This window comes from Homo sapiens, chromosome 16, assembly GCF_000001405.40.
Source record: "Homo sapiens chromosome 16, GRCh38.p14 Primary Assembly".
NCBI lineage: Eukaryota > Metazoa > Chordata > Mammalia > Primates > Hominidae > Homo > Homo sapiens.
In genome coordinates, this window is record NC_000016.10 from 20,701,189 (window position 1) to 20,715,471 (window position 14,283).

A 14,283-nucleotide genomic window follows, 5' to 3' on the forward strand; every position below is an offset into this window, starting at 1 on the left:
TAGGACTTGAATCATGATTTTATTTAAGCTAGTTTTTCCTGCTTATAGGCTGTCTCTATCCTATCTGCCATGCTTCTCAATACTCTGGAATTGATGACAATAGAAAATTCCAGTGTGGTTTTATTTTTGTTCAACCATGCCGTATAAATTGACCAATGACTTCCCCACTCATCTCAGATCCAGTATTGCATGGACTTGTATACTGTGGAAGGAGTGATTTGAAATAATGTTCGGAAGACACTTGACAATGTCTACCATACAGCAAGTGCTTTTCAAAGGGTGGCTGTTACAAATTTTTAAAAAGAAACTTCAGAGCCAGATAGACCAAACTGGAATCTTTTTAAAAAAATTTTTACTTTAAATTCTGGGATGCATGTGCAGAACATGCAGATTTGTTACACAGGTATACATGTGCCATGGTGGTTTGCCGCACCTATCAATCCGTCATCTAGGTTTTAAGCCCCATGTGCATTAAGTGTTTATCCTAATGCTCTCCCTCCCTTTCCTCCTCACCCCTTGACAGGCACTGGTGTGTGATGTTCCCCTCCCTGTGTCCATGTGTTATCATTGTTTAACTCCCACTTATCAGTGAGAACATGCAGTGTTTGGTTTTCTGTTCCTGTGTTAGTTTGCTGACAATGATGGCTTCCAGCTTCATCCATGTCCCTGCAAAGGACATGAACTCATTCTTTTTTATGGCTGCATAGTATTCCATGGTGTATATGTGCCACTTTTTCTTCATCCAGTCTAGCATGGATGGGCATTCTGGTTGGTTCCAAGTCTTTGCTACTGTAAATAGTGCTGCAATAAACATACATGTGCATGTATCTTTATAGTAGAATGATTTCTAATCCTTTAGGTATATACCCAGTAATGGGATTGCTGGGTCAAATAGTATTTCTGGTTCTAGGTCCTTGAGAAATCCCCACACTGTCTTCCACAATAACTGAACTAATTTACACTCCCACCAACAGTGTAGAAGTGCTCCCATTTCTCCACAGCTTTGCCAGCATCTGTTGTTTCCTGACTTTTCTTTTTTTATAAGACAGAGTCTTGCCCTGTTGCCCAGGCTGGAGTGCAATGGTGCAATCGTGACTCACTGCAACCTCCACCTCCCAGGTTCAAGCCATTCTCCGGCCTCAGCCTTCTGAATAGCTGGGATTACAGGCATGTGCCACCATGCCCGGCTAATTTTTTGTATCTTTAGTAGAGATGGGGTTTCACCATGTTAGCCAGGCTGGTCTCAAACTCCTGACCTCGTGATCTGCCCATCTTGGCCTCCCAAATGTTTCCTGACTTTTTAATAATCACCATTCTGACTGACGTGAGATGGTATCTCATTGTGATTTTGATTTGCATTTCTCTAATGACCAGGGATGATGAGCTTTTTTTCAAATGTTTGTTGGCTGAATAAATATCTCCTATTGAGAACTATCTGTTCATATCCTTTGCCTATTTTATGATGGGGTTGTTTGTTTTTGTTCTTATCAATTTGTTTCAGTTCCTTGTAGATTCTGGATATTAGCCATTTGTCGGATGGGTAGATTGCAAACATTTTCTCCCATTCTGTAGGTTGCCTGTTCACTGTGATGCTAGTCTCTTTTGCTGTGCAGAGCTCTTTAGTTTAATTAGATCCCATTTGTCAATTTTGGCTTTTGTTGCAATTGCTTTTGGTGTTTTACTCATGAAGTCTTTGCCCACGCCTGTGTCCTGAATGGCATTGCCCAGGTTTTCTTCCAGGGCTTTTATGGTTTTGGGTTTTACATTTAGGTCTTTAATCCATCTTGAGTTAATGTTTGTATCAGGTGTAATGAAGGAGTCCAGTTTTAGTTTTCTGCATATGGCTAGCCAGTTTTCCCAGCACCATTTATTAAATAGGGAATGCTTTTCCCACTGCTTGCTTTTGTCAGGTTTGTCAAAGATCAGATGGCTGTAGATGTATAGTGTTATTTCTGAGGTCTCTGTTCTGTTCCATTGGTCCATATATCTGTTTTGGCACCAGTACCATGCTGTTTTGGTTACAGTAGCCTTGTAGTATAGTTTGAAGTCAGGTAGCATGATGCCTCCAGCTTTGTTCTTTTTGCTTAGGATTGTCTTGGCTATATGGGCTCTTTTTTGTTCCATATGAAATTTAAAGTAGTTTTTTCTAATTCTGCAAAGAAAGTCACTGGTAGCTTGATGGGAATAGCATTGAATCTACAAATTACTTTGGGCAGTATGACCATTTTCACTACATTGATTCTTCCTATCCATGAGCATGAAATGTTTTCCCATTTGTTTGTGTCCTCTCTTATTTTCTTGAGCAGTGGTTTGTAGCTCTCCTTGAAGATGTCCTTCGCAGATTTTTTTTTTTGAGACAGTCTCATTCTGTCACCCAGGCTGGAGTTCAGTGGCATGATCTCAGCTCACTGTCACCCCTGCCTCCTGGGTCTGAAAAATTCTTCTGCCTCAGCCTTCTGAGTAGCTGGGACTACAGAAACATGCCATCATACCTGGCTAATTTTTGTATTCTTAGTAGAGATGAGGTTTCACCATGTTGGCCAGCCTGGTCTTGAACTTCTGATCTGAAGTGATCCACCTGCCTTGGCCTACCAAAGTGCTGGGATTATAGGCATTAGCCACAATGTCTGGCCAGAACTGGAATTATTGTCCTACCAGTTATTAATATTAGGCCACACAAATATTGATAGTTATTGCAATGCTCTTCTTCTATTTCTTCATCTGAAAATGAGAAAAAAATTGTAAAAGTTAAAAGAGATAATATATACAAACTACTTAGAACAGTGCCTGACACTTAGCGAGAGTATTATTATTAGTATTATGTATTAGGACAGGGAAACGAAAAGATAGAAGAAATGACTACTTCTTAAGTACACATTGCTTAGTAAAATTTATAAGCATAACTCCATTTACACATATATTAATGCTGCAAGCTTGATATTTTTATTTTCATTACAAAGATGAAGAAATTGAGACTCTCTGGGTTTAGGCAGCTATATAATATGGACTCAAATTTATTGAATGTTTGTTTCAGGCACTGTTTCCAGGCTTATATATGTATTAATCATGTAATCTAAAACCTTATGTGAAAGGTAGTATTATTACTACGTTTTTACTAATGAGAATATTGACATTCAAGATTTTTAGCTACTGCCCAGCCTCACGAAAGCCAGAAAATGATAGAATGAGCACTTCAACTTAGATGCACCTGGATCTAAATTCTTAGCTTAGTCACCATGTTTAACTACTAGCACAAGTTCTTCCCAGGGCTAACTTAGAACTGAGAGAACACACAGGCCCTTGTAAATCATACTTTGTTTTGATTTCTAGAGTCAACATGTCAGAATTCCAGGAAGTGTAAATGCTCTGAGGCAGAATACAACTTAGCTTAAATCTCGAATACTGATTCCAATCCAAAATGCTCTCCTACATTGTCCTGAGAACTCTTAATATGTCTTATTAAAGACAAAAAAAGAAGAGGCATATAAAAGACATATTAAGAGTTCCCAAGACAATGTAGGAGAGTATAAAAGTATAGCCAAGTTATAAAACAGGATGACTTCATAAAAGAGGATGATTTTGGAGTATAAAAGTATAGAGTATGAAAGTATAGCCAACTAAAGCCAAGTTACCATAAAAGTATAGACAAGTTATCATAAAAGAGGATGATTTGGGAGTAGATTTTTCTAGGTAAGCTAAAATTCACATGCTCACAATGAGTATTGGTGGCACAGATAAATCAAATAATTCATAACTAGAATTTAATTGTAGGGCTTTCACTTCAAGTATCATGATCTTCAAGTATCTTGAAGTGAAATGTACTATGTAGTATTTTCCATAGGATCAACCTTTTGATAGGTACCAACTATAAGCCCTGGACAAAATATAAATAACAACTTCAGGGCCAGGTGCGGTGGCTCACGCCTGTAATCCCAGCACTTTGGGAGGCCGAGGCGGGCAGATCACGAGGTCAGGAGATTGAGAACATCCTGGCTAACACCCTGAAACCCCGTCTCTACTGAAAATACAAACAAATTAGCCAGGCGTAGTGGTGGGCACCTGTAGTCCCAGCTACTCAGGAGGCTGAGGCAGGAGAATGGTGTAAACCCGGGAGGTGGAGCTTGCACTGAGCAGAGAGAGAGCCACTGCACTCCAGCCTGGGCGACAGAGCGAGACTCCGTCTCAGAAAAAAAAAAAAAAACAACTTCAGAATGCATTAGAGATTAGGCAACATAAAAATAAATTAGGAAAAGTCTACCTTTGAAGAAATAAATGGCATTGAGTGAGTTTTCAATTTTTATGGAAAAATTTCAAGAGAGAGAGAGAAGAGGAGCTTCAAATTTTGTGTATAAATTCTGCCCAAATCCATGGCTGATCCCTGAAATACACAGAATCCATGCAGCCTCAGGCTAAAAGAAATGAATAAACAAAACAAAATCCAGATTCTCTACCAAAATCCAGAGTCTCTACAGTATATTAACGACAATGTTCAATATAAAGTCTAAAATTACTAGATACACAAAGACACAGGAACACATACTCATTTGCAAGAGAAAAAGAACATCAATGAAGAAAACTAAAGACTCAGATGTTGGAATTAGTAGAGAAGGATTTCAATAACAGTGCTACAGCTGTAATCATTATGCTCAAGGACTAAAAAATTATGTTCAATATGAACAATAAAAATGTTAGTGGAAAAATAGAAATGATTTTAAAATTGAGACTATTTAAGAATGTATTACTCTAAATTAAAAATGAACTTAATGGACCTTATAGCATATTGGAGATCTAAGAAATTTAGCATACTTGAAATTAGTTCAAAAGGAATTAGCAGTCTTAAGAATAGAGAGAAAAATATTTTTATAAAAAGTGAAGCCTCAGTGAATCGTGGAACAGTGTGTGTGTGTGTGTGTGTGTATACATAAAAATTGGAGTTCTAGAAAAAGACAGAAAAAATATTTTAAGAAATAATGACCAAAAGTTTTCCAGATTTTGGTGAAAGATATAAATTTACAGATCCAAGAATATTAGAAAAATCTAAAATGGGAGAAATACAAAAAAAAACAATACTTAGGCATGTCATAATCAAACTTCTTAAAATCAAAAAGAAGATAAAATTTTGAAAGAAGACAGAGGAAAATGATACATTACACATGTGGGACAATTGTTCAAATTACCACTGACTTCTCTACAGAAACAAAGGAAGCTAGGAAGTGATGTCAGCAAGATGGCAGAGTAGGTAGTCCCCCACTCACATTCCCCAATGGCAACAATAATTTCTCATCTATTCAAGGGCAAAAGTGCCTTTGTGAGAACCTGGGGATTTAGGCAGGAGTTGTAAAACCCCAGTGGAGCCCAAGACCTAGGAGAGTTGTTTTGAGAGGGTAGACCCACACCCAGGTGGTAAACTCATTGATGGTGGTCCTAACCCCAGATTTGGAAATGGCCCCATCTGCCTCATGTTTGTTGAAAGCCCTATTTGGACTTGATCCTGCTACCAAAACCATCTGCCTAGGGCTCTGACAGGAGGCAGTCATGCACAGTAGTACCTCAGAAGACAGGCCCACTGAACTTGCTCTCAACTGAGGCCCTGAAACAACCATCTAACTCAACTCCAGCCCATCTCAGCTGCAGTAAGCAATCAGTCCTGCTTGCATAAGGACCCAGAGAGAGACATGTCCATATGAGTCCCTAGGGCAGGATTTTGGATTTTAGTCCCCAGGCAGATGAGAAAGGGCCCTTAATCTTGCCTCCAAACCCTCTCAGCAGCAACCCAAGAGCAATTTTGCCTGTACATGGAGCTGCTGAGAGACTTGCCCATCTATGCCACTGGGACAGCCTTGCCAACTTCAGTCACATTGCAAATCCTGAAATGACCCTGAATTTCAGCCCAAGGCTCCCTCAGCTGAGGTCTAAGAGCAGTTCTGCCCAGCCAGGGAATAGCTGGGAGACAAGTCCATGTGAGTCCCCAGGGTCATACTTGCCAACCTCAGTCCCCATAGCAGATCCTGAAAAGGCCCTGAATCTCAACTCCAACTTAGCTACAGATCGAGAGCATGGCTGCCTGCCCAGGGACCCACTGTGAGACATGCCCATCAGTGACACCAGAGATAGGCCTGAATATTTCTGTCTCAGTTGTAGACCTTGAAGCAGCCCTGCAACTTGGTTTCCGCCCCTCTCAGCTGCAGACTGGAGCAGTACTGCCTGCCCAAGGTCTCACCCAGTGGTCCAGCAAGAGCCCTCCTGGGGACCTGGAGGAGTCATACCCATTCACAAACCGGACAACAGGCCTATTCCTGTGCACCTGAAGTAGACCATCAGCCCAGTACCAGCCCTTTGGACCAAGGTCCTGGAGACAGTAGAGACCACCCTGGGCCCAGACAGGATCCACGCCTGCTAGAGCCCCTGATAGTAGGCTCACCAACTGTGGACTCCATTGTGGACCCAGCAGCAGTCATGTTACCTGGCTCCAAAAGCATTTGGCTACAATCCCATAGGCAAACTCATTTGCCTGGGAACTTGTACTGCCTGGGAACTGTTAAGGGAACTTAACAGAACACAAACCTGCCAAAACCAGTTTCTAAGGCCTGGAAGAAGTATTTGCTCTTTCAAATGAAAAGGTTACTTGAATAACAAGAAATCAGACAAACATGAAACCACCAAAGAAAATTAACAAAGCCCTAGCAACCTACCACAAAAAATTGGATATCTATGAATTGTCTGAAAAAAATTCAAAATAATTATCTTAAAGAAGGTCAGTGAGATGCAAGAAAACACACCTAAACAACTAAATGAAATTTAAAAAAATAACAACGCATAAAAGTTTTTCTTGCAGGGCATGGTGGTTCATGCCTGTAATCCCAGCACTTTGGGAGGCCAAGGCGGGTGGATCACTTGAGGTTAGGAGTTCGAGACCAAGCTGGCCAACATGGTGAAACCTACACTCTACTAAACATACAAAAATTAGCCAGGTGTGGTGGTACATGCCTGTAATCCCAGCTACTTGGGAGGCTGAGACAGGAGAATTGCTTGAACCCAGGAGGTGGAGGTTGCAGTGAGCTGAGATCACGCCACTGCACTCCAGCCTGGGTGACAGAGTAAAAGCCTGTCTCAAAAACAACAACAACAACAACAACAGCGACACCTTTTGGCAGTGCACAATTATTTTTTAATGGAATCTTTAGAATTTTTCTACTTATAAGATCCTGTCATCTGCAAACAGAACTAATAAACAAATTCAGTAACCTTGCAGGACACAAAACCAACGTACAAAAATTAATAGTGTTTCTATACACTAACAATGAACTATCTAAGAAAGAAATCAAGAAAACAATTCCATTTATAAAACACTCAGAAATAAATTTAACTAAGGAAAGTAAAATACCTGCAGACTGGAAACTATAAAACACTGATGGAAAAAATTGAAGAAGACACAAATAAATGGAAAGATATCCTGTGTTCATGGATTGAAAGAATTAATATTGTTAAGGTGTCCATATTATTCAGCGTGATCTATGGACTCGATGTAATCCTTGTCAAAATTCCAATGATATTTTTAACAAAAATAGAAAAAAACAATTCTAAAATTCATATGGAACCACGAAAGATCTCAAATACTCCAAATATGCTTGAACAAAAAGAGAAAAGCTGGAGGCATCACACTCCCTGACTTCAATGTACTACAATATACTGCAAAACTATAGTAATTAAAACAGCATGTTATTGTCTTAAAAACAGACATATGCATCAATGCAATAGAATAGAGCCCAGAAATAAACCATTGCATTTACAGTCAATTGATTTTTGGCAAACTTCCTCAGATAACATAATGAAGAAAGGACAGTCTTTTTAATAAATGGTGCTAGGCACCAACATGGCACATGTATACATATGTAACAAACCTGCACGTTGTGCACATGTACCCAAAGTATAATTTAAAAAATGGTGCTAGGAAAGCTGGATATCCACATGCTGAATGGCGTCAACCCAGGAGGCGGAGCTTACAGTGAGCTGAGATGGCACCACTGCACTCCAGCCTGGGCACAGAGCGAGACACTATCTCAGAAAAAAAGAAAGAAAAAAATGATATTGCTTAACATAAGTTATGAAATTTATAAAATGATAATGAAAAATGAACACAAAGCTGAAATGGTTAACATAAAACACTCAATTAAATGTAAAACAAGCAGGTTAGATTATGTTTTCTGACTCAGAATTATTGCTATACCTATACATGGCAAAATATTTTGGTTTCTGCTGTAAAGTGTATGCAGTAAAGCCTAAGATATTTGCTATCTGAAAACCACTAGAAGAAAACTGCCCCTAACCCTGAAGCTAGAGGTCAACCTATTGAGTGCATTCATATCACAAATATACCACGGATACTAATTATTTATAAGTCATTAAGAACAGGTGGTTTGTAAAATAAATAATCTTATATTTTTACATTGAATGAATACTCTAAGGTATTTTCTTAACCCACTTCCTTATCCTTATACAGTTATTCACTTTCTCAAGAAGGGATGATATTTAAAAGCTTTTAAAATATATTCATAAATAAAGTCTCCTTCCTAGGAATTCAACTCCACATTTCCCTTTTTAGCTAACTTCAGGGAACTCACCAGGAAATAAGTAGTTTGGCTTATAGCACAAGTCTTGGGAGTCTGGGGAATATACCTTTGAATCCTTTCAGTTCTTTGCCACTTACTGACTTTGTGACCCTTGAATAAGTTATCATGCACTGGGATTAATTTTAAGTGAGATGTCAGGCACATAATAAATGTTCAAGAAACAGTAGTGGTTATCTGTAATACTATATATACACTCCACTTTATTCCCAATAATTCACTTTAGAAAGTACAAACTACCTTCTCTCTTTCATCTAATTAGGACGTGCATGTTCTTTCTGCAATTAACTGGTACTTTAAATTCAGACTTATCTCCAGCCAGTGTTTAGGATGAGATAAACTAAGCATTGCCAAAGTAGTCTAGGCAAGGTTTGATGATGCTAGACCACTAGAATCCATAGAGTGGAGGGCTGGCTCTGCCACTCCCCAGCTATGGCCAAATCTCATATTCCACCAATGGGCACAACCACATGGACCTTCCAGGGTTGCTTAAAACAGTAGTCTCTAGGCATTTTGGGTTGTATAATCTATCAATAAAAATATTTAGAATACACATCTTCCCATCTGAGTGTAGCACTTACATTGTTCTACTGCACTAATATAGTATGCATACTATAAAACATAGATGAAAATGAGATAAAAGCATTAAAAGAATTGTATCTCAGTAATTTTTAATTTTATTAAATTATTAACATTATTTTAAAAATTAAATACAGATGGGGTCTCACTGTGTTACCCAGGCTGGTCTCGAAATACTGGGCTCAAGCGACCCTCCCATCTTGGCCTCCCTATGCACTGGGATTACAGGTGTGAGCCAACATGCCCAGCCGATAATTTTTTAAGTTTCTGTTCTCATTTCTTAGTCCCAGTGGATTGTCCCAAAACTCACTTTGGAGACCATTGGTTTAGAGGATTGAGTGAAATATTGCTCATGAAATGTGTTATAAGCTGTAAAGTGCTATTTAAGTGGTACATAATAATAATTTAGGTCGAGTGCAGTGGCTCACACCTGTAATCCCAGCACTTTGGGAGGCCTAGGCAGGTGGGTCACCTGAGGTCAGGAGTTCGACACCAGCCTGGCCAACATGGTGAAACCCCATCTCTACTAAGAATACAAAAAATTAGCTAGGCATGGTAGTGGGCACCTATAATCCTAGCTACTTGGGAGGCTAAAGCAGGAGAATCTCTTGAACCTGGGAGGCGGAGGTTGCAGTGAGCCAAGATCATGCCACTGCACTCCAGCCTGGGTGACAGACTAAGACTCCCAGACTCTGTCTCAAAAAAAAAAAAGATTCAAATATTACATTAAAATGTTACATAATAATGGCCCACCATAATAATGTCTACTATATTCCAGACACTTATTATTGTTATTCCCATTTTACAGATAAGGAAAAAAAGACACAGAGAGATCAAGGTCACAAAGCTAGTAAGTTGCAAGGCCAGGATTAGGCCCATCGTCTGTCAGACTCCGAAGCCAGTGCTCTAAAAATCTCTCAGGGATCAGAGTCTTGTACAATATCATTGGAGAATCAAGGCAGAGGTAACTGAAGGATGGATTGTAATGCTCCTCCTCACCCAGGCACAAAGCCCAAATCTTCCACCGTCCACAGAGTCTCACTTAAGGGATGGCGGTTCTGTTTAGTGTCCTTCCCAGGGATTGTCTTCATGCCAGGAACAATCCAGCTGACAGCAAAATATATCCTCTACCGGCTGCAAGCATCCAAGGCCAAGTGCATTGTGGCCAGTGAGGAGGTGGTCCCAGTAGTGGAGTCCATTGCACTGGAGTGTCCTGACTTTAAGACCAAACTCCTGGTGTCTCCACAAAGCCGGAACAGGTGGCTCAGTTTCCAGGAGTTATTTCAGTGAGTATTTTTCCCAGCCAATCTACGCTGCCAGCAACAACACAAATTATTGCTACATCTTGGAATATCTTTGCCTCCAAGGACTCAGGAACACTGTGAGTTGATCTGGGCTCCTACTCGGAAAAGAATTACCTAATAACCAGATTTAAGGGCATAAGGAAGGGATGTAGTTCTGCCTCCATCCTCCTGCTTCCTAGTGGTCTATAATGAGTATCCTGCATTATATGGCTCTTGCTTAAATCTGAACCAACCACGTATCCCACCACTCTTCCTTTTCTTCCTCAAACATGCCCTATCTCAGGGCCTTTGCACCTGCTGTTTCTTCTGCCTGGAGTGCTCTTCCTATTCCTTTTCATGAGTGGTTCCTTCTTGTCAAATTTTGGCTCAAATATTTTATCCTAAGTGAACTTCTCCTTGACCACATTACCCCAGCCTCGCAAGTAGCTGGGATTACAGGCATGAGCCACCACACCTGGCCCTGTTTTTGTAAATAAAGTTTTACTGGAATGCATCCACACTCATTTATTTACATGTTGTCTATGTAACAACAGCAGAGTGGAGTAGTTACAACAGAAACCTAGGCCCACAAAGCCTAAGATATTTGCTATCTGGCCCTTTACAGAAAAAGTTTGCCAACTCCTGCCCTAAACCGTAAGTTCTAAGAAAGCAGAGACTTTGATTGATCTTCCTATCCTCAGTTCCTAACACATAGATAGTGCTTAATATTTACTGAATGAATGAGCAAAAGAAATCACAACTACAGTTTTCTTCATATGTAAAATGAGGATAATTATACTGTACATATCTCTTGTTGTTTTGAGGATAAATTAAATGAATATGTGAGAAAGTGTTTCCTAAGATGTAAAAAAAAGAGTAAAATATTAATGGTATTATTCTTCAAAGAGGTGTTGAGTAGCTTATGTTTAAAAAAAAAATTATTCCAGGCCTGGTGCAGTGGCTCACACCTGTAATCCCAGCACTTTGGGAGGCTGAGGTGGGTTGATCACCTGAGGTCAGGAGTTTGAGACCAGCCTGGCCAACATGGTGAAAACCTGTCTCTAAAAAAAAAAAAAAGTACAAAAATTAGCCAGGCGTGGTGGCAGGTGCCTGTAATCATAGCTACTTGGGAGGCTGAGGCAGGAGAATCTCTTGAACCTGGGCAGTGGAGGTTTCAGTGAGCTGAGATGGCACCATTGCACTCCAGCCCAGGCGACAGAGCAAGACTCTGTCTCAAAAAAAAAAAAACAAAAACCAGAGAAGTTTATAGAAAGAGATGACATGTAAACCCTGCTGAATAACAGTTTTATTTGTTAGAATAAAATTTTCTCCCACTGATTAATATATACAAAATACTATTTGTCCAATCCCAAAATTCTTTCCCAAGGGCCACATCAGTGAATATTGCTTGTGTCTTTTATAAGCTGTGTAACCTTGGATAAGTAACATTTGCTGAAACTCTGTATCTTATCCATACAATGGAGATAATGATAGTATCTACCTCATGGGGTTGTAGGAGAATCAAATGTGATAAAACATGAAATTCTTAGCTGAATGCCTGGCATAGAGTAATCACTCCATAAATATTACAGTAATTATAACTGCAATCATTATTATAATTTTCAAGTTAACAAAGTCATTCAACAGTAGTGATTCCTAAGGTAGTGGTATTTATATTATTTGAATATACATCTCCATTAGTAAAATACTTTTTAACATACCCCCCCATACATGTATTTATTTATTTATAAATTATATACATGTACTTTTGTGCATTATACGAATACCAAAAATAAAAATTTTAGAGGATGAGTAAAAAAATACAATTGTGCCACTGCACTCCAGCCTGGGTGACAGAATGGAACCCTGTCTAGAAAACACAAAACACATAATTTTCAATTCTTGTCTCTTCTCTATCCCAGTTGCCTTGCACACTTCCTGAGCAGCAAGCACTTCCACTTCAGAGACTCCTGTCCTAAACAACTTTGCAATATTCTGTAGAGTCCCCAAGAAACCTTAAAGGAGCCACAAAATTTACAAACGATAAAGGACTTTAATTAAACTCATGTGGATCTCAAATTGAAATGTGCATATTTTGGGGGTAGTTTTCAAGATGGAAAAAATCCTCATTTCAAACTTTGAAGTGCCATAACTCCAAAAAGGGCACAGATTGTTTCTCTAAAAACTAGGGAAGGGAAAGCTGTCTCATTGCCAACAGTTGGCTAGTTTTTCAGAAGACTACACACGGCAATAATGTGGGCTAATTTTACACTGTTAGAGTTGATCTTCTATTCAAGGAGTTCATTTTAAGGCTTCTCACCCTCCTTCTGACTCTCAAGTGTATACGTTCATGAACACTTTCCAGAATATTCATAATGGATGAGGGAAAAGGTCAACATTATAAGCCAGAATTATATTTCTCTTTTTCTGTCCTAGTACAGAAGACCCTGTCCGGGACTCTGGATTCTGATCTTGAGGGGGTCAAGATGGTGCTCCAGTTTCAGGAACAGCAAGAGCAAAGATATGGAGGCAAAAAAAAAAAACACCCTAAGGTGTGGAAGGAATAGACTACACACAGTTTGGGCTAGCTAGAGAACAAAATATGGAGATAGAGTGAAGGCTGTAAGAGCAAACAGAGGCCAGATTATGGAAGATCTCATATGCCATGATAAATCTTAAATTGCCCCTGTAAACAAGGGATGCCATTGATGGGTTTAAGAACAGAAGTTCCAGGGCCAGGTTTGGATTAAATTAAATTAAATAGATTTATCTGGCAGCTATGTAGAGGATTAGTTTGAGGAGGACCAAACTGGAATCAGACCATCTTGGAGCCTAATCTAGGAAAGAAATGACAAAAATCTAAACCTGAGCTCTGATGAATAGGATGGAGGGAAAGCAGCAAACTAAAGAACTAGCAGGACTTAGAGAATATTGGATGTGGAAGATGAAGGAAGAAAGAGTCAAGGTTGATCTGCTTTTTGACTTAGGTGATCAGTGGGTGGGTACCATCGGTTGGAGAGAGAGAGAGAGACAGTCGATGTTAGGATAATAAGTTTACAGTTGGACATACAAGATCGAAGGTTCTGTGAACATTCAAATGTCTAGCAGGTGGTGGATATATGAGTCTCAGGAACAAGAGGCAAAGATACAAATCTGGAAGTCATTAGTATATACTTAGCTCTGAAAACCTGGAAAGACATAACTCAGAACTCAGGTATTCAAGGAAAGGAAGACAAGTTGGATAATGGAATCACTGCTTGTCACTCACAGATTGTGATGTCTTTTCTTTTAGATAGACAGACAGATGGATAGACGAAAGATAGATAGATAGGTAGATAGATGGATGGATAGATGAAAGGTAAGTAGGTAAATAGATAGACAGATAGATGCCTCCTACCAAAAGATTTCCATACTGGATTGAGAAGTATTTAAATATGAGGGGTCTCCCTGCAAGGTATCAGATTCTGTGAAGAAATCCCCCTCTCTCTAGCCCAACACATACCAATTTGACTCTATATTTGAATTGAAAAGAAAATCAATATAGCTGAATGAATGATCTTTTTCTATTTTAAGGGGAGGAAGGAAGTTACCAAGAAAACCATGTTAATATTTTCTGAAACTATTTTCAAATAATCTTCACTGTTCGACAGTCATGGTGGCTCACATCTGTAATCCCAGCACTTTTGGATCCTGGGGTGGGTGGATCACCTGAGGTCAGGAGTTTGAGACCAGCCTGGCCGACATGGTGAAACCCCGTCTCCACTAAAAATACAAAAATTAGCCATGTGTGGTGG

General features: G+C 39.5%; 1 protein-coding gene and 2 pseudogenes across 23 annotated transcripts in view; 2 read left to right on the forward strand and 1 right to left on the reverse strand.

Annotated features, from left to right (window-relative positions):
* The window catches only part of ACSM3 (acyl-CoA synthetase medium chain family member 3), a 123,177-nt gene that overhangs the window by 26,784 nt on the left and 82,110 nt on the right, over window positions 1-14,283 (forward strand). The gene's annotated exons all lie outside the window — the stretch shown is intronic.
* Window positions 1-14,283, reverse strand: part of LOC124903661 (NADH-ubiquinone oxidoreductase chain 5-like) — a 21,663-nt pseudogene continuing 7,380 nt past the window's right edge.
* The window catches only part of LOC100887080 (acyl-CoA synthetase medium chain family member 4 pseudogene), a 21,565-nt pseudogene continuing 17,519 nt past the window's right edge, over window positions 10,238-14,283 (forward strand).